At 36.3% G+C, this 19,244-nt stretch overlaps 1 protein-coding gene and 1 pseudogene across 6 annotated transcripts in view; both read right to left on the bottom strand.

Moving 5' to 3' along the window:
• Positions 1-19,244, bottom strand: part of POTEI (POTE ankyrin domain family member I) — a 50,253-nt gene that overhangs the window by 26,254 nt on the left and 4,755 nt on the right. For 3 of the 6 annotated variants that reach the window (XM_024453046.2, NM_001371926.1, NM_001277406.2), the window contains 8 exons: positions 18,072-18,186; positions 17,738-17,911; positions 14,828-14,934; positions 13,376-13,513; positions 10,844-10,914; positions 4,962-5,032; positions 3,527-3,571; positions 2,324-2,490 (listed from right to left, as the gene is read on the bottom strand). In XM_024453046.2, the coding sequence (XP_024308814.1) occupies positions 2,324-2,490; positions 3,527-3,571; positions 4,962-5,032; positions 10,844-10,914; positions 13,376-13,513; positions 14,828-14,934; positions 17,738-17,911; positions 18,072-18,186 (888 nt within the window). Of the gene's footprint in view, positions 1-2,323; positions 2,491-3,526; positions 3,572-4,961; positions 5,033-10,843; positions 10,915-13,375; positions 13,514-14,827; positions 14,935-17,737; positions 17,912-18,041; positions 18,187-19,244 lie in introns of those variants that run through there. The other 3 variants (XM_017004732.3, XM_017004733.2, XM_017004734.3) reach the window with 3 other exon arrangements.
• Positions 12,035-12,141, bottom strand: RNU6-473P (RNA, U6 small nuclear 473, pseudogene; annotated as a pseudogene).

Consider the following 19,244-nt stretch of genomic DNA (forward strand, 5'->3'; position numbering starts at 1 on the left):
GCTCAAATATTGCTGACAGATTAAATAAAATGAGGTGTAAGAAAAAATGCATAATTTACAGAAAAAAAATTGTGATAATCTTGAGGAAAAACAATGTTGGAGGACTGCTGAAATTGAAGACGCCGGTGTGAGATTAAGAGTGAATGAAAAGAAAATTTGAGTTCGTGAGTGTGGACAGTTCTTTTAAGGACATCATGCTTAGGAGTCATGACTGAGAATGTTGTAATTTTCTTCCACAGTCATGGAAAAGTAATAGACAAATAGTTTCAAGTTTTATATAACAGGTGTAGTTTTCAAATTTTATATAACAATAATATATTTTAAAGGTTATAAAAATTATACACATGTGGCATTAAAAATGCCAGACTGAGGTGTTAAATTCTTAAAACTATAGAACTAAAAGTCGCCTTGAACATTTCTAGATTACACATAAGCTGATTATCATTTTATTCATGCTTATGCATAAAGACCAAGAAATACTAAAAGTTTCAAGGAGAGTATTTCTTGCTTGATAAAATCAGCCAATTCTAGGACAACTGATACTCATCAAATATACAAAGTAATTGATCACAGCAAAATACTGGGTTCTATTAACAGGAATAAAGTGGGAGAAATGCAGACAATAATCTTATTTTATAAATGAAATTTTTAAAATTATATGAAGTCACTGTGGAAAAATATGGTGAGGTGAATACTGAAATATATCCTTTTCTCAAAGGAAGGATAATTTCACACACGCAGGGCACTTTTACAAATAAGAGTCACTTCACTTGCAGCACCTTCCTTTTAGCACAAGGGTCAGCAAACTAGCACCTTGGGCCAAATCCAGCCCACTGCCTGTTTTTGTAAGTCAAGTATTTTGGAACACAGCCATGCTTATTCACTTTACAGTCCACAGTGTCAATTAGCTGGGTGTGATGTTGCACACCTATGGTCCCAACTAGTAGAGAGGCTGAGGTGGGAGGATCACTAGAGCTCAGAAAGTCAAGACTGCAGTGAGCCATGATCACACAACTGCACTCCAGCCTGGGAAACAGAGTGAGACCCTGTCTCAAAAATAAATTAATTTATATAGTCCACAAAGCCTAAAATATTTACTAACTGGCTCTTTGCAGAAAAAGCTGGCCAACTCCTGGTTTAGCAGATGAAAGATCCTTTGATACATTTTAATAAAAGTTTTACCCAATATACTGAAACGTTTATATTAAATACAGATCCCCATGTACAATCCCTTGGCAATATTCAGATTGAGGGTCCAATATTTCAGCACTCAGGCACTGACATAAAAATTTAATAACTAGCAATCTTGTTGCTAACAAGGTACAGCATCAATATAGCATGTAGCTTCCATTTGCAACACAGGAAATATTACAAGAATTTTAACAAGAACTCTTAAGATGTCATCACTGATGCTTTAAATACACTTTAATTGTGAAATAATCAGTATACTCTAGATCTAACCTCACTTGTAAAAAATGGTTGCATACTACATTAATTTCTGGGTATGAAAATTGAGCTATTTCCTATTGGTAATGATTTACTTTTGATAATGATAATTTCCTATTGATAAGGATCCATCTTTTTGATATAATAATGCTGTAATAAATGTCCTTATACATAAGTATATATGTAACATCTACACAAATATCCTTTACATATATTATATATCCTTATTGTTATACATGTGTTTGTGAATATGCTACTAAATTAATGTTCAAAATGTATTTACCAGCAGTGTATGAAATGTCTTTTACAATGAAACCATTTCTTTTGCAGCAACACAGATGGAGCTGGAGGCCATTATCCTAAGCAAACTAATGCAGGAACAGAAGATCAAATGCCACATATTCTTACTCATTAGTGGGAACTAAATAATGAGAACTCATGGACACAAAGAGGAGAATAACAGGCACCAGGGTCTACTTGAAGGTGGAGCGTCACGGGAGGGAGACGACCAAAAAACTAACTTTTGGTGTTTTGCTTATTATGTGGCTGATGAAATAATCTGCAGTCCAAATCTCCATGATACACTTTACCTATATAATAACCCTGCACATGTACCCCTGAAACTAAAAGAAAAGTTCACTAAAAAGAAAAGAAAATGCCTTTTCCCTCACATTTGCCAATACTGGTTATTTTTCAAATAAATTAATGCCTGGAAAAATGGTAACTCATTGTTCGCTGATTTTCATTTTTCTGATTAACGGGCAAGGCTGAATATCCTAGTAAAACTATAAAATTTGTTCATCATGAATATTAGCCCAAACTAGGGTTAGTTTGACAGCACATAGTTATCTCCTGTTCAATGTTGCCATAGGCTTACCTGTGATACTCTTCACTTTCGTTGTCAGGAAATTGCTGATTTTCAGGTGTTCTGCTCTTCCTTTGAGGAATTAATCCATCATCACCATTGCCAGCAGTGACACCATTACTCAGGTTTTCTAGTAATCCCACATTATTACTTTCATGCTTCTTCATTTCTTCTTCAACCTTGAGTGGGATATTAAGGATAGTTATCACTTTATTGAATAAAAAGAACCTTTTTAATTGATTCTATCAATTGACTCAGTTTGTCATTATTTTAGTCATTAAAAATATTTCACACTTAAATTTGATCATATATATAGAAATATTACCATATAACTTTAAGATGTAATTATCATATCATTAATATATCACAGAAATTTTTGTAAAGTTTGCTTCATTTCTGTTTCAATGAATGAAACAGAATTTTCCAAAATTCAAAAAGGGCCCTCCTTCATTTTATGCTTTTATTCTCAATCACTCTTCAGAATCTTATGTATGTATTTACCCCATTTGACTCATGGGAACACGCAAATAAAAAGACAAAGATGCAAAATGTGTCTTCTGTCTTTACCACCTAGATTTTACATTAAACAGTCAGATTTAGAGGATGACACACTGTGCGGCTTCAGGAACAGAAAGGAAGTTTGCCCTTTTCTGCGCTAAGATATTCTTCTACCCCACTGCCTTTGAGCATTCTTTTTTCATTTGGTTGCTGGGATATCAAAAACATGATGGTGCTCACTGAAAATGGGAGCCAAAGTTTGCCACAACACAAGAAGCAGAGTGAAACTGCTGACGTGCAAGCATGGAATTCCAGAAAATGAGATGCTCCCCAAATTTCACATTGAATAGCCATACAATTTTCTAGCTGGAAGATACACAGAATAAGAAGCTATCTTCTTTAGCCACATTATCTATTGATAATCAGACTAAAACCAAGAAAGATAAAATGATTGGTCCAAAGCTCCTAAAGTGGCATTACCTAGCATTTTATGGCACCATTCAGGATTGTTCCATAATAATCAAAGAATATCTCTAGGCTTTGTATCTCTTGAAAACTCAAAGTACAGAATTCTTTCTGAGTTAAATATTAACTTTTTCACTCATGATTTATGCTACTTACATGATAGGATCATGTATGCCTACACTTACTACATTTTGTTAAACAACATAATGTAAAAATCTAATTCAACAGAAACATTTGAATATGAAGGTATACCTCTCTATCACCATCCTTATTTATTTCTGGTTCTTGAGACATTTTCTGCAGAGGCAAAAACAGAAGGTTAATTTGCTTGTTGTGTTTCTGTGATGTCTCCTCTTTTGGAGCGCATGTTTTAAAAAAATTTTATTCTTAACTAATGAAGTATGGACGATGAAAAATTAGAAAATAATTAAAATTAAAATTTAACTGTTAAATAAATAATAATTAAAATTAAGAATTAACTTTTTAATCTATGTTTAGCTACTGCCACATTACTGGCTTCTGACTAACATGTGAAAAATAATTCACCTTAGCCCAACGAAGAAAAAAAACGTGAACCAGCAAACTTAACTTGGTCACCATTTGTTTGGACTAAACTTGTTATGTGTTAAATCTACCAAAAATGAATCAGCAGATGATTTGTAGTGTTCCAAAATCTTCCTCACTTGAAAAGAGTTTACCTCATGAAACCCTAACTAGTGAGCCCCTACAGTGCACTGAAGTGCTTTTCTAAAAGATTCCTAACTGGATTGTAGGCACCATTTAAATTATTAGGAGCCGAAATCAACACCAAACAGAAAGAGATGCAATTTCTCAAATTTTAATTGAGATTATATACTGTCATATGATAGTGTTATGTATCCAGATTATCTGCTTAAGTCCAGTTCTAATATATTCTAATGTGTACTAATTACAGTGGATAAAGATTTTTTTAATAATATGTACTAATTTTCTGCAACTGAAATAAATTAGAATGTTATTGTGTTTGTGCACTAACACCAAAGGTTCCATTCTGCAAGATATGATTCTTGTAATAGGCAGCTGTGTTGCTTTTATGACCTGGTTCCCTCCCTGAACAGAAACGCTGAGGTCAATGAGAGACCATAAGGCAGAATATATTTTTAACCTTGGTATCAGTGACTGACAATATAAAACTGCAGATTTTCAATCACTGGCCATGATTACTCCTTAACCATGAATCCAGCTCAGGGACCATCAGAGTTACATTGTTCATAATTCTATTGCTTAATAACATAATCCAATAATTGATGTACCTTCTTCATCATGTTCGGGTGTTGTAAAAATAAAAGAACAAAGTTCTGAAATTTGTTTTTGCCTCTATTCCAAAAGGAAAGATTAGCTATAAGCTAATCAAAAAGGCAGATGAGAATATTTTAAATAAAAATATTATAAAATAAGAGTATTTTAAATTTTATAGTGGTTATGTTTTTTAAGTTAAATATCAAATGTTAAATTAGAATCCATTCTTCTGTTAATGAGATTACTGAATTTATTAAAATAAATTTTAACAATCTATTAAAAAATTCTTTAAAAAATCTATTGATTCTCAAAACCTAGTCTGAAAGGTAATTTCATTTGGACTATCTAATATTATTAAAGCAAAGAAAACAACATTAAATCAAAAATTTAAATTTAAAATTTCCCATGCCTCTGGCTGGCTATTTTCACTGCCTTTGAACCTTTGTGACTCTTCCTCTGATGTCAGCTTTAAGTCTTGTTCTGTTGAGAAATCCATATATTCAGTTAAAATGAACCACTTAGAACAGTTAAAAACTATTGCCTTTATAAAAATAGATTTAAGACAACATTTTATTTCATAAATTGAGTGTTTAGTTTTTCATGAAATAGTTATTTAGGAAATAATTCTCCCAAACTTCAACAAACCACTTGGGGAGACACCTGATGTCATTCACTCACAAATTCATCCACCCAACATAAATGAACAAAACCACCAGAAACACAACTTTAAAATACAGTAGAAACATATAAGGTAACACAGTATGTTGTTCTCCACTTCCTAATAGTGAAGCAGTAAATGTAAAGAAAAGGAAATTTAGTTTTAAAGAGAAACAAGTTTTCCCGCACTTAGCTAGTCTGACTCTAAGGATAGTAACAAGCAGGGCCCAGGAAAGGTCATGGTGACCCTGCCTGAGAAGCCAGAGCCCACAGGTATGGGCTCCAGACATCCCACAGCAAGGTTAAGAAAACAAAATCCTTTACTGTCTCCCCTTCCCCTCAGCATTCACTCAGAGCTGTTTTTACAAATGCATATTATTTGCAAGTTCCTGTTGTCCTTCAATGCAGCTGCAAGGTCATAAGCTACGCTGAGGTTGCAAAACTGTCACTATATGATTAACTGCCTTTGTTCTGCTTCTGTAAGCTTGCCTACATAAGCCAAGCCCTGTCTTTGTTCAGGGCTCAGCTTTCGGATGCAAATCCGCTGAGCTGGTGCGAACCTAAATGAAATCCTCCTGTTTCACCCACTTGGTCTCTCCTGCCTCCTGTTTTCTGCAACAATAGTACCTTACAAATGATTTCAAAAATTACTACTGACACCTTTATTAGTGTACAATCTCTTCCCAATATCTAAAATGTTTCCCTCCACGATTCAGACATATTTATTTTCATTTTTCTTTCTTTTTTTTTTTTTGAGCCAGGGTCTTGCTCTGTCACCAGGCTGGAGTGCAGTGGCGCAATCTCAGCTCACTGCAACCTCTGACACTCCCTGGTTCAAGCGATTCTCCTGTCTCAGTCTCCGGAGAAGCTGGGATTACAGGCATGCACCATCATGCCCTGCTAATTTTCGTGTTTTTAGTAGAGACGGGGTTTCACCATTGGCCATGATGGTCCTGATCTTTTGACCTTGTGATCTGCCTGCTCCAGCCTCCCAAAATGCTGGGATTAGAGGTGTGAGCCACCACACTTATCCTTATTTTTATCTTTTAAAACAATGCTATGAGAACGTCTTCCTTGATTCTGCATGTCTTTCCCCAGATAAACAGGTACCTCCTTCCTTGAGGCTGCCTTAGTACTTCACTGATTTTTCTACTGCATCTTTACCACCTGAACTCTACATTATTCCTCCACATGTCTGTCCCGTCTGCTCCAAGACTGCAGAGGACAGTCTTGCACATCATCTTACTCACATTTTACTCAGAAATTTCTTATTGAGTCCTGCTAAATACATGCTAGGCATTAGGGTTTAAAAACAATTAAAATAAAGCATGTCAGGGATGGCTTTTCTAGAAAACATGCCCAAGCAGAGACTTAAATATTGAGACTAGCCAGATTAAAAGGGGTAGAGGGCAGGAAAGGGTGACGGCATGCCACACAGCAGCAAGAGCGGGAGCGAGGCCTGAAAGAGTGAAAATATTTGCCTACAATAGAAGGATGAGTGAGTAGGGCATTGCCAGCAGCTCAGTAATGCCAGAGAAAGGGCACACAGGGAAAAGGCCTAAAGATGGAGAGTGGGGCAGAAGTCAGATTATGAAAGCCTTATGTGTAATTTTAAGATGCCTGGACATTAATGTTCAAGAGAGGTCCCTGATCCTATCTGCATTTAGATATAGATCACTTTAAATGCCAAAACCAATATTCCTAGTGAACCATTATTCATTAAGACAAGGTGACAGATAGCTCATGTGGACACAGCTGAGATGATACTATGTAGCAAATTCTCAATAATTCTCATGAACACTTGGAAAGTCAATTCTATAAGAAGTCAGAGAAATTATAATAAATCACTTAATACTTGGTTTGGGAAGGTGATTTCTAAAGTTATAGTGCCTATGAATTTAACTAATAATTGTGAATTCAGAGCTGTGACAATAAAGCAAAGAAACCACATTGCGTTTGAGTCAGCAATCTTTAGATTTCTATCTAGTCTTCCTACCCAGTCCATAAATTCTAACTCCTGGTACTCACTCTCAAGTTTATGTTAAATACTAGCCTATACAAAAAACACTCTTTCTCTTTTTTCATTTTGTTATTTATATATTGCTTTGTTTAAAGGAAGAACACAAAAATGCCCTGCTAAAGGGATTCTGTTTGGTTGCAGGCTGCAAGCGGGGAAAAAATCAAAGTGTATTTTGCAGAAAATGATTTTTTAGAAGTCAGAACTATGACATGAAGTCAAGCAGGGCACTCTAGGACCGAATTTGCTGTGCTGCCTTCATATGCTCCTTGCTCGCTCTTTTCTGGCAGCTGTGACTCACACAGGTCATGGAGAGTATCATTCCCTAAAAGGAACAACTCCGATATTCATCTTTATCCATTAAGTTCATCTGTCCCATTCTATGTCTGTGGATGCTAACTTTTGATCATTGATGGTGATACACATGGACATTTATCATCAACTTTCAGATTCTTGGATCTTTGACAAGTCTTATTAGTGAGAGTCAAACTAGTAGGATGCGAGTTATAAATGCTGGTTATCCAATTACCTACTCAAAATATCCTACATGAATATTCCATTAAACGTGCATAGAAAAACATTAGTCATTCCTGCTGACCTGCTGCTCTTTGCTCTTCAGTATTCACCAGAAAATTTCCTCCTTCTTCCTCACATCCAGGTTAAATACTACTGTACAACCTGGAAACCTGGAAATTATCTGACATTTCTCTCTGTCCCCCAAGCCTTTCTCATTCAATTATTACTAAATCATATTGACGATACCTCTCTTCTGCCTCTGCTTTATATTCCCACTGCCACTGGGAACACAAACATTTACAAAATGGCTTTTATTTAAAAAAAAAGCCTGCCAACTATTAATGTTATTTCTTACATGAAAAAAAATTAAGCAAAACAAATGAAAAAAGCATATCACCAAAAAAACAAAGGCCAACATATTAAAACAAGTAGTTGAGATTCCTAACTTTATGTATTTCACTAAGGACGGGTGAAAACCTTGTAATACATTGATGCTACTCCAAGGATGTATGACAAGGAAACTATAGCTGACTACTGCAAAAACTTCCTTTGTCTCCTGGTTTCTTTACATGGTAAAGAACCTTCCATCAATCCCAGCAAACTATAGGCCACAGGCCAAATCCAATCTGCATTATGGTTTTGTAAATAAAGTTTTATAGGAGCTCAGTCATGCCTGTTTGCTTACATATAATCATGGTGGCTTTCACACTACAACAGCAGACAACAGCAGGGTTAAGTAGATATGACAGAGACCACATAGTCTAAAATATTGCCCACCTGGCCATTTACAGAAAAAGCTTGCTAACCCGTTTTACACCATAACCAGAATGCCTTAATACTCAAATTTAATCTTGTGACTCCCCTGCTCAAATTTCTCCAATGAGCCCCTGCAGCACACATTGTTGGCTCCCTATCAGTAGCCATTCCTTATTCTTTCTTGAAGAAGAAATCCAAGTCTATTGGGATATTTATTATCCCAATCCCCCTCCTCAGCCTCAGAAACAGAAATGTTTATTCTAAGCTAATCAGGTATTTACCTTCCCAGTGCCTGGTTTGGGAATGAGCATGTGGTGTGACCCAGCCAATGAAATGTTACAGGAAGCCCCTTGCATGCTTCTAAGTTTTCTCCCTGTTTAAAAGACACATGTGAAGAAAAGCAGCCCTTGCGATGTTGTGTTGTGAGAACAAGATGTTTGGAGCTGCTGCGGATTAGCCAACCATGAAAGGAGACGTGAATAAAACACTGCCAACAGCACAGCTGAAAGAGGGAAAAGTGGGATCCTAGGATATCAATGAACAACCAAAACAACTCTGGTTCTTACTGTTTTAGCCACTGTTCATCTAGTATTTGCAGTCCAAAGCATTCTACCCGGTAAATTTCCCATGGCACACAGGATAAGACCTACTCATCTCTATAGTATTAAAAAGTATATCATAAACTTGCCTTAGCTAAGTATTCACCTCGTTCCCAACCTCTGGTATCTCACACTTTTGGTACTAGCAAAAGTGAACTGCTCAGAAACCCTGCCATGTTCACTCAAGCATCTTGTCTTTTGCACTTGCTGCTCTTCCTCCCAAACAGGCAATCTCATTAGATGTTCCTTCTGGCAAACACACGACCTCGCTGCATGTTCCTTCTGCCAAACATTCTTCTTCTGCTTCTTTACCTAGAAAAATTCTTCTCTCTCTGCATGCTTACCTTAAATCATACCTACTTTTTCCCAAAACTTTCATTCCTCATATGTCTGGCACATAATCAATATATAATAAATCATAATTATAAGCTTCCAGTGGGCATCTAGCACACAGTAAGCACTGAATAAAGTAGTAAAATAATGAAAATGGCAATGATAAGAAAAAGCTCCTGTCTGTATTTTTAATTGTCTGTGGTCTATAGCATTAGAAAAATGGTTACCATCTAAAAGACATTTGATAGTTATATGTTAAGTGGACAAGTGAAAACATAAATAGCAATGTTTTCTTTGTAAATTCTGTTGAAAAAGCACAGAAATGAAATGGAGACAGCTCTATTATGAGCACCTTAAAGATCAAAACTACATCTATTCCATCTTTGTCTCCTGCGACTTATAAAACCTAACTTACAAAAGCTCTTTGATAAATAGATGGCTAAATTAAAGGTGTCCTCATACAGTTTGGACTATATAATGTATTAGGTGTCCACAACCAGGTAGCATACTAGCATTTTTGTTAGTGTGAAACGTTTTTCTGCTTTTATTATAATCTGCTGAGCCTAGAGTTGGGCAATTTGTATATTTATTATGACAATCTTTTGGCAAATGGTAGCAGAGCATCTTGTTCTAACAAAATTACTGTTATGATGACAATTAACCAGCAGGTAGAAGAACACATCTTGTTCCAACAAAGTAAATATATCTCTTTCCAACTTCAAATGAGGAGGAATGAAGTCAATAATAGTGAGACCTTATTGGGACAAGCATATGTAACATGACTTGTGCTTCAGTGTTCTTTTGTGATCAAAAATTCCTTACTTTTACTTTTTTATCTATGGTAGGACCACGCAGAGCAGGGGTCCTCAACTCCCAGGCCACACACTCATACCAGTCCATGGACTATTATGAACCACACCACACAGGAGGAGGTGAGCAGCAGGCAAGCCAGGGAAGCTTCATCTGTATTTACAGCCACTCCTTATGGCTCATATTACCGCCTGTACTCTGCCTCCAGTCAGATCAGTGATAGCATTAGATACTCATTGGAGCATGAACCTGTTGTGAACTGCCCATCTGAGGGATCTAGGTTGTGTGCTTCGTATGAGAATCTAATGCCTGATGATCTGTCACTGTCTCACTTTGCCCCCAGATGAGACCATCCAGTTGCAGAAAAATGAGTTCAGAGCTTCCACGGATTCTACATTATGGTAAGTTGTGTAATTATTTCATTATATATTACAATGTGATAATAATATAAAGTAGCACAATAAATGTAACATGATTGAATAATCCTGAAACCATCCCCACCTTCCCCCAGCCCATGGAAAAATTGTCTTCCACAAAACCGGTCCCTGGTGTCAAAAAGGTTGGGGACAACTGACTAAAGTAATTCACTATCACAAGTCTTACCTGGATTGCTGTTTTCAGAAGAGATTTTTAGCATCTGTTTTTCTTTGTAGTCAGAAAGTAACTGGCAAATTCTATGTATAAAAATGTAATAAACCAAATTACTATTTTAATACTGATATAAAAAAACTTACCAAATGTAGAATTATTAAGAGTATTTCAAACAATATCAGAATATCAGAACTTAATAGTATTATCCCATCCACTTATGAGTACATTCTACAAACTTCTCTTTAAGCTTCTAATTAAAGACGAAAAAAATGTAAGGTGAAATACTCATAAATCAAGGGCACTGTGACCCAGTAAATTAGCTAGCATTAGCATGACATAATAGAAAGTGTCCCAACTCTGCATAAGTCCTAGCTCCATAATGAACAGCTATTTGTTCTTGGGCAACTTGCTTCTCTTAGGCTCAATGTCTTCTTCAACAAAGTGAGGACTTTGCTGCCTTATTTCACTAGGTTGTTATAAAGATTTAACGAGATAACATTTTTTAAATGCTCAGAGAAATAGTAAAGCAATGGAATAATCTGTTCCTAAACTTTATGACTAAAATTATCTTGGAATCCCAAATAAAACCCAATGCGTATTTTGTTCATAGGTTCTAATATGCAAATGTTGTAGTTTTCAGAAAATGTTATTAAGTCCTAATTTTGCTTCTTAGTTGTCCTACTCTTTATGGCTTATAATTCAGGGCATCTCAACTATGTCATAGTTTATAACTAAATTTATTCATAAATATCTCATTAAAGTAGATAATGTGATTGTCCACTATTACGGAGTTGATCAATCACACCAAGGGCAGAAAAACCAATGGATGTTAAGACCTGACTTGGACCAACGATCCTTCTCTACAGACTCAAACTCTCAGCCAGTAGATGTCTGTTAGGATAATGCTTTATATTGATGTTCAATTCCAGCTGACATGGGAGACCAAAAGTCTACTTTTATTTATTTTAGTTTCCACGGAGAAGTAGCAAGCTGACATTCTGTAATTTTCGACATACATACTAACAATATATTTTGCACCGAACATGTTATTCAGGTCTAAGTCATCTCATAGACCATCTTACATGACTATTTTTGCAGCAGAAATCACAATTTCAATATTTGGGTGGCACCCATTTTGCTTTGATTCACACTATTTCCTCAGAGCTAGTCAGCAAATAGTCAAATGACCTTCCAGTGACTGCACAAAATATGGAATGCTTCAAAGATCTGTGCTGCCTCCTTATGCAGAAGCCACGCTAACTTTCCCCGTATTGTTCCAATTTTAGGATATGTGCCGCCGAAGCAAGCACAAAGCCCTACTTTTACACATGATTAGTGATGCGTCATGGACAAGGCTTGGCTCTGTGAAGTCCAACTAACCTACTTGAGATTCTGAGAATTCTCTTCAATGGCTTCCTGTGAGCTAGAGTTTGAAAATATTTTAAAATCTTGAGCTAGAGATGGAAGTAGCTTCCACGATTTTCATTATCATGTAAATCAGATCACTCAAGGGGCCAACCACAGCTGGGAGCCACTGCTCAGGGGAAGGTTCATATGGGACTTTCTACTGCCCAAGGTTCTATACAGGATATAAAGGTGCCTCACAGTACAGATCTGGTAGCAAAGAAGAAGAAACAAACACTGATCTCTTTCTGCCACATTATTTGAACCCCTCTCACCCTTTAGAACAAGCCCACCTAATATCTGCTAGAGAAAAGACCAACAACAGCCTCAAAGGATCTCTTACCATGAAGGTCTCAGCTAATTCCTGGCTAAGATGTGGGTTCCACATTAGGTTCTGAATATGTGGGGAAGGGTCAATTTGGTCACTTTGTGTGCGGATAAAGTCAAGATGCCCAGCGGCCAGAGCAGGGGGCTGGTGCTCTGGGAACAATGGCTGAGCATATAAGCATAGGTATGGGAATTAAAAAACATCAAAGTCACTGTATGAATCGCCATGAAGACTTGAGGGATCTGAATCTACTGATTCATCTTAAGGCAGCAGGACCAGTTTGAGTGGCCACAAAGCAGCAACAGAATCAACGGAAACAACAGAATGATTGCAATGTCTTTTTTCCTCCTCCTTCTGACTTGATAAAAGGGACTGTCTTCCTTGGATTTAGTAAACCCCTTCGGTTCTTGAAAAATTCAAGGAGTATGTAGGACATAGTGCCCAGAAGACAGTACAAGACTTTCCGCTAAACTGGACATTTCAAGACCCAAATAACTAATCAGAAAAATTAAAGATGTGACACTATTTTTTATCCCATGCATAGGTGTTACACTTGGATCAAATGAACAATGCTGGGATCTCTAAGGATAAAGATCTTAAAAGTCCTGAGATAAAGAATCCCGCACCCATTGGTACTTCTAACTTGTCTTGCTTTTTGTCTGATTTCTGGCTGATGCAGGGGACTAACTCACTGCCACGCGAAAACTACCTGAACCAAACTATGACATCTCACCTGATATGTCAGATGCAACTGTTATAATTATTTTAAACCTCAATTCAGCATTAACTAGCCTTTTAATGTGAACACTTACACATGATGATGACTAGAAACAGCATACTCTCTGGCCGTCTGTCCAGATAGATCTTGAGAAGATACATCAATATTTTGCTCAAGTAGAAGGCTGACTATACTTGCTGATCCACAACATACAGCAAGTATGAGAGCAGTTCTAAAATGACAGAGATAGGAACTGTAATAAAGTTATTTTTAAAGCTAATTTGATATACTTTACCAATGTAACATCTTGCCTGTCTGTGCAGAATCAAACATTTACATGCACTAAAAGACATAAGCATCTTGAGTGCTCAAGTGTTCATCTTTGTAAAATACCACAAAAGTTAAAAGGAAGGGACCAAAAAAAACCCTCTTATCTCAGTGGGGTATTGCATAGCAGAAGCTACTAATTTAACATCCTTTGATGGGCAAGAAACAATGTTAGGGCCACTTATCTGAAGTGGACAAAGATTTAAGTGAAGAGTTTGTCACAGCTTCCCTAGACAGATATGCTGTAATAGAAAATCAGCTAGGGGGTAAGAGAAATAAGAGCTCTCTGCATGCTCAAAGCAGTAATATTAACAATGGTAAGAATAGTAGTCATAGGAGTTTCAGTTAATGGTGCCAATAACCATGTGCTAGGCACTGAATTAAATCCTACATTTATCTTTCTTACTTATGCACAGCCAACTTTTAAGGATATATTCTCCTACTTTTCATACATGACAACACATTTGGTGGTAAATAACATCCCCAAGGTCACACACCTAGCAAGTAAGAAAGTTAGGAATTAACCCAGTCTTGTGTGAATCCAAAGCCTAGCTCTTTTCTCTTTATCACCCACCTACATCTTGCCTTCATTAAAGGAAAAGTGTATCCACTTAAAACTATCTTCACTCCCTCTCTCCATACCAATTAAAACTAAAAACACCAAAATACACTGGAAATAAAAAAGGAAAAAAGCTGTTGAACCCACAGTATGTGGGAACAGCAATTAATTGTCATGTAGCGATAAGCTAACATTAATATTCTTCAAAGAAAGCAACTTAAAGCAGAGTCATTGAAAAGACAAAAGGATTTTCAACCCCTATTTATGTTTAATACAGTATATTTAGTGGAAAAGCATGTAAGACACAGAGGTTAAAAACTATTAGAAAGGGTTAAGAAGTTCAATACTGAGTCATAAAGTAAACTAAAAGTTAAAGTTCAAACTTCATAAAATTAATATGAAATGCCTTTAGCTAACATAAGATCATGTAACCAAAAACGTCACATAACAAATAACATCAGTCAATATAATGAGAAGACGAATCCTACTAAAACTGTTCTTTATGTTGCCCAGTCCAAGTAATTGTTTTTCTACCTAACTGATTTGTGTTGATACTGATCACTACATCCCAGTAAGTATACATTAATCTTATTAATTTAATATTTATGACTTGAGTGACTGCTATCCATCTAGAACACAGATTAAAAGAAAGAACTATACCTTCCATATCTATCCAGCGCATTTAAATTCGCTTTTTTCTTGATTAAAAATTTCACCACTTGCTGTTTTTGCTCATGTACACCAAGTAGCAGTGGTGTGAGGCCATGCTGTAAAACAATATAAAGCAAAAACCTATGTAATTCAAAAAAGTACATATTCCTCAACCGAAGTGGAAACTTTATATAAGATCTTATGGACTTACACGCATAGAAGTAAATAAAATGTAGTCGCTTCCTTCTCACTCTTCTGTGCTTTCCCACACGCTGCTCCTTCCCTTGGAAACACCCCTTCTCTGCCTCACCACAGTACCTCTAATCATCTCAAAAACTCACTTTAAACATTTACTGCTTCCAAGGCTCTTTGCTTCTAAACCAGCATTTGGCATGGTGTTATTGGATGATAATATTTTTCCCATCTAAACAAAAAGCTTCTTGAGGGCAGGGGCTGTATCTTTTGTCTCTATATCCTCAACCCTAAGACAAATTGTGTATAAAGCAAGAATCTGCATGTAAAATATTTCTTTAGTTTCATGTTTTACCAAAAGTTCAACCTCCAACATGCAACAAAAATTGCTGTTAAAACTCATACTGCCCATTTGAAAAAATTTTCCAACATTTATTTATTTAAAATCTATTTGTATTTAATTTTCCCAGATTGTTAACTAAACCATCAGTTCATAGGACTACTGAAACTAAATTAACAGAATTCCTATCTGTATTCTTAATAACTCCATGGTTTTTAGTGTTTAAAACTGCCATGCTGATTATGCCAAAGCTCTACATACTTAAGAGACACACTGGATAGTCCATAATACAGCGTCAATTGACAAAAAATGGTTTAGAATTTGCTACAATTCTAATTGAGAAAACTCTGCTCTTAACGACTTACTGACCTAAGTACTTGAATGACTGAACAAAGAGACACAAAATCCTGAGAGGGCCATACTCACAGCAAATTTCTAAAGACCTTCTGAATGGCAGTGAATAACTGATGGTAGAAAGGAAAAGGTATTATTCTGTAAGCTGATACATACTACCAATAATATTCATTTTAAGGTCTCAACCACAGAGATAAAAGTCAGACTAGGTCAGGAATGGTGGCTCACACCTGTAATCCTAGCATTTGGGGAGGCTGAGGTGGGTGAATCGCTTGAGCCCAGGAGTTCAAGACCAGCCTGAGAAACATGGCAAAAACCTCATCTCTACTGAAAAATAAAAAAAAATAAAAAAAATAAAATAAAATAAAAAAAACTGAGGTTGGAGGACCATCTGAGCTTGGAGAGGTCGAGGCTGCAGTGAGCTGTGATCACACCACTGCATTCCAGCCTGGGAAACAGAGTGAGACCCCATCTCAAAAAAAAAAAAAAAAAAAAAAAAAGTCAGATTAATGTTATTGGAAAGATTTAAAGAAATCAGCACATATCCAACCCCAACTCTTCTAGAGATACCTTAAGTTTCTGAGACATAAGAATTTACATATTACATTTATGTATTGAGTGGTTCTTAAGCAGGAGTGTATCCAGATTTTGAGAAAATTGTTGTTGTTGTCGTCGTCGTTGTTGTTGTTGTTGTTGTTAGAGACAGGGTCTCATTATGTTGACCAGGCTAGACTCGAACTCCTGAGCTCAAGCAATCCTCCCACCTCAGCCTCCCTAGCAGCTGGGACTACAGCCATGCACCACCATGCCTGGCTTCAAGGAAACATTTTCAAATATACATATCCAGGCTTTATTAGACTTACTGTATCAAAATATTCAGAAAAAGCCTAGACTTGTTGATTATTTAAACATTTTCCTCAGGTTACTGGGATGCACAATTCTAGCTGAAAGCTAGTGCAACAGACAATTACTTCAGTCTCATTTCTCACCCATATGACCAGTTCCCTTTCTCATTTGAAGATTTGGCCAAAAAGAGTAAGGAGTAGGAGAGAGACCCATTTGCTGAAAACACCACATGATTTTCCCCGGTAAGAGAAGAACAGGGTCTAGTCAACTCAAAATCCAACTTGATCTTGTTACTTATTTATCTTCCACCTTCCCATCCAGACACTCTAGATTTGAAAGCAGAGCTGAGACTCTAATTGGCCATTTCTACCAGAATAGGATACTAAGTCAGTTAATTACTTGATATTCCCTCTGCTCAAGGGTTTCCCCTTACATTACCACCTATTCACTGCCAATCTGGTTCCTCAGAGGCCTCCTAAAATTGATCTCTATTCAGTTTACAACCCACTAACTCCCTCTCCCAAACTGAAAACTGTCATTCTCTAAAATTGAAGAGAACCTTGTCTCAACATACAAAGGGAACAAATCAATCAACAACGACAACACACACACACACACAACCTCTTCATGGTCTTTTCCCTCTATTACCTAATTTCCAAATTGGCCTTGATATTTCTGATTGCTCTCTTTTCCGCTTTCCACTTCTGCCTCATGAGCAATCAGAAATATCTTAAGCCTTGCCACTGACAGGCGCATCACCTTCGTATCTATTACTGTTTCTTAGGAACTTGCCAAAGGGGCAGGATCTCTATTCATTGAAACATATTTAAGTTTTCTTGGAGTTTTCATGTAAAACCTATTTCAGGGCAAATTTTGCCATTTTACATTCATTAGGGGAAAAAAATCCTAGGAGGGAAAAATTGAAAAATAGTAAGTATTACCTTCTACAAATTCAGTGCTTTCAAAAAAATTATTTACCACAAGCGCATTAAAAAAAAAACTGTACCCTCTAATGCTTCTTTGAAAGTAACAATATTTAAAATGAAGTCTTAGATAATTAGGTCATTTCAAAATATTTTCATTCAGGTTATGCTTGAGCTTCCAAATATGGAAGACTGGCCCTTACACAGGTCAATGTTAAAATGAATGCATTTCAGTATTTGAAGATAAAATTGGTAGATCTATACCTTGTTTTTTGATTCGATATCAGCACCGTATAAGAGCAGTGCTTTGGCCATTAATTTATCTTCATTGTAGATAGCGTAGTGTAGAGTGGTATTTCCATACTCATCTGGAATGTTTGGATCAGTGCCATGTTCCAGCAACATTAACGCACATTCATCTTCCTGGCATTGTACGGCCTGTCAGTATTAGACCAAAAACAAATTACAAATCCTAGGAATTCAAAATAACATTCCACAGCTTTCACCACCTAAGTTATATTTAAAGGAGAAAACTCATTTTTATGCTATGTATTGAAATCAAACCCACCTCATGCTGATATAGTTGGCTACTGCATACCTTTGTCAGAGCTGTCCTCTTTTTGTTGTCAAGGACATTAAGTTGACATCGTCTGTCCAGCAGGAGTTTTACTACTCCTGAATTCCCATTGGCAGAGGCCAGATGTAGAGCAGTCCTATGAGAGTGACAAGACTTTTTAGGAAATTGTAGTGCACTAGCTACAGCCATAGCAATGATTCATGTAATTGCAAACACTGAATAGCCTGCTATTACTCTGCCTTCAAAACAAACATTTAACTTTCCCATGAAAAAAGCACACTATTTATTATCTCTCTTTACTCGCTGTATTAATGAAAGAGCATCCTATATGAATACAAAGAGCATAGCCCTTGGATGACATTCAACTTGAGCTGGAATCCTACTTGAAGCTCTGTCACTTCCTGGCTGTTGCTTAGCCTTTTGGGGTCTCAGTTTCCTCATCAATAAAATAGGAATGAAAATAGTAGCTTTCTTACGGGAAACCACTGTAATGCTTAAATGAGACTCTGCACAAAAGATATAGAATAGTTCCTAACACAAATAACAGCTCAATAATTGTTAGATATTTTAATTTTTACTAATACCACTAAAGACAACATTTGAATTGAGATGATACAATTATACCTGCACTTTCAGGTGTGTTTTAAATATTACAGCTAACATTGTATTTTAGTGATTCTGAGATGATCATTGTCTCCATGTTGTCTCCACTGAAATACCACTTACAATTCATGATTTACTATAATTTGCGGCATTTAAATAATTCTCTTATTGAGGCATAAAATAATGGGGCATCATACAATCCCTGGTGTCTTACATTAAGTAGAATATGTTACAACAGGTCTGGGGCGGTTCCAGTCAGATGACCAGCATTTAGATAAATTTTAGTTCCTAAAAGAACTATGGAATAAGAGAGCAGAGGTGAAAACAAAAACAAATTTCTAAAATAAACCAATTCTTACTTTGGTTTTCAATAAACTTTAAGTCAAAGAAAACTTGGAATTCAAATGAATAGCATGGGCTCATTTTTGTCAACACTTAGATTTATACAATGTATGTACATCAGATATTTCCAATCATTCATATTAGGATTTAAGACTGTTATAAATTTTCTTGTTTTAAAATGGATTTATGAAACTATTTGTGGAGCTTTTTTCAACTTTTACATTCAGGGATACATGTGCTGGATGTGCA

Source organism: Homo sapiens, chromosome 2 (genome assembly GCF_000001405.40).
Source record: "Homo sapiens chromosome 2, GRCh38.p14 Primary Assembly".
NCBI classification, from domain to species: domain Eukaryota; kingdom Metazoa; phylum Chordata; class Mammalia; order Primates; family Hominidae; genus Homo; species Homo sapiens.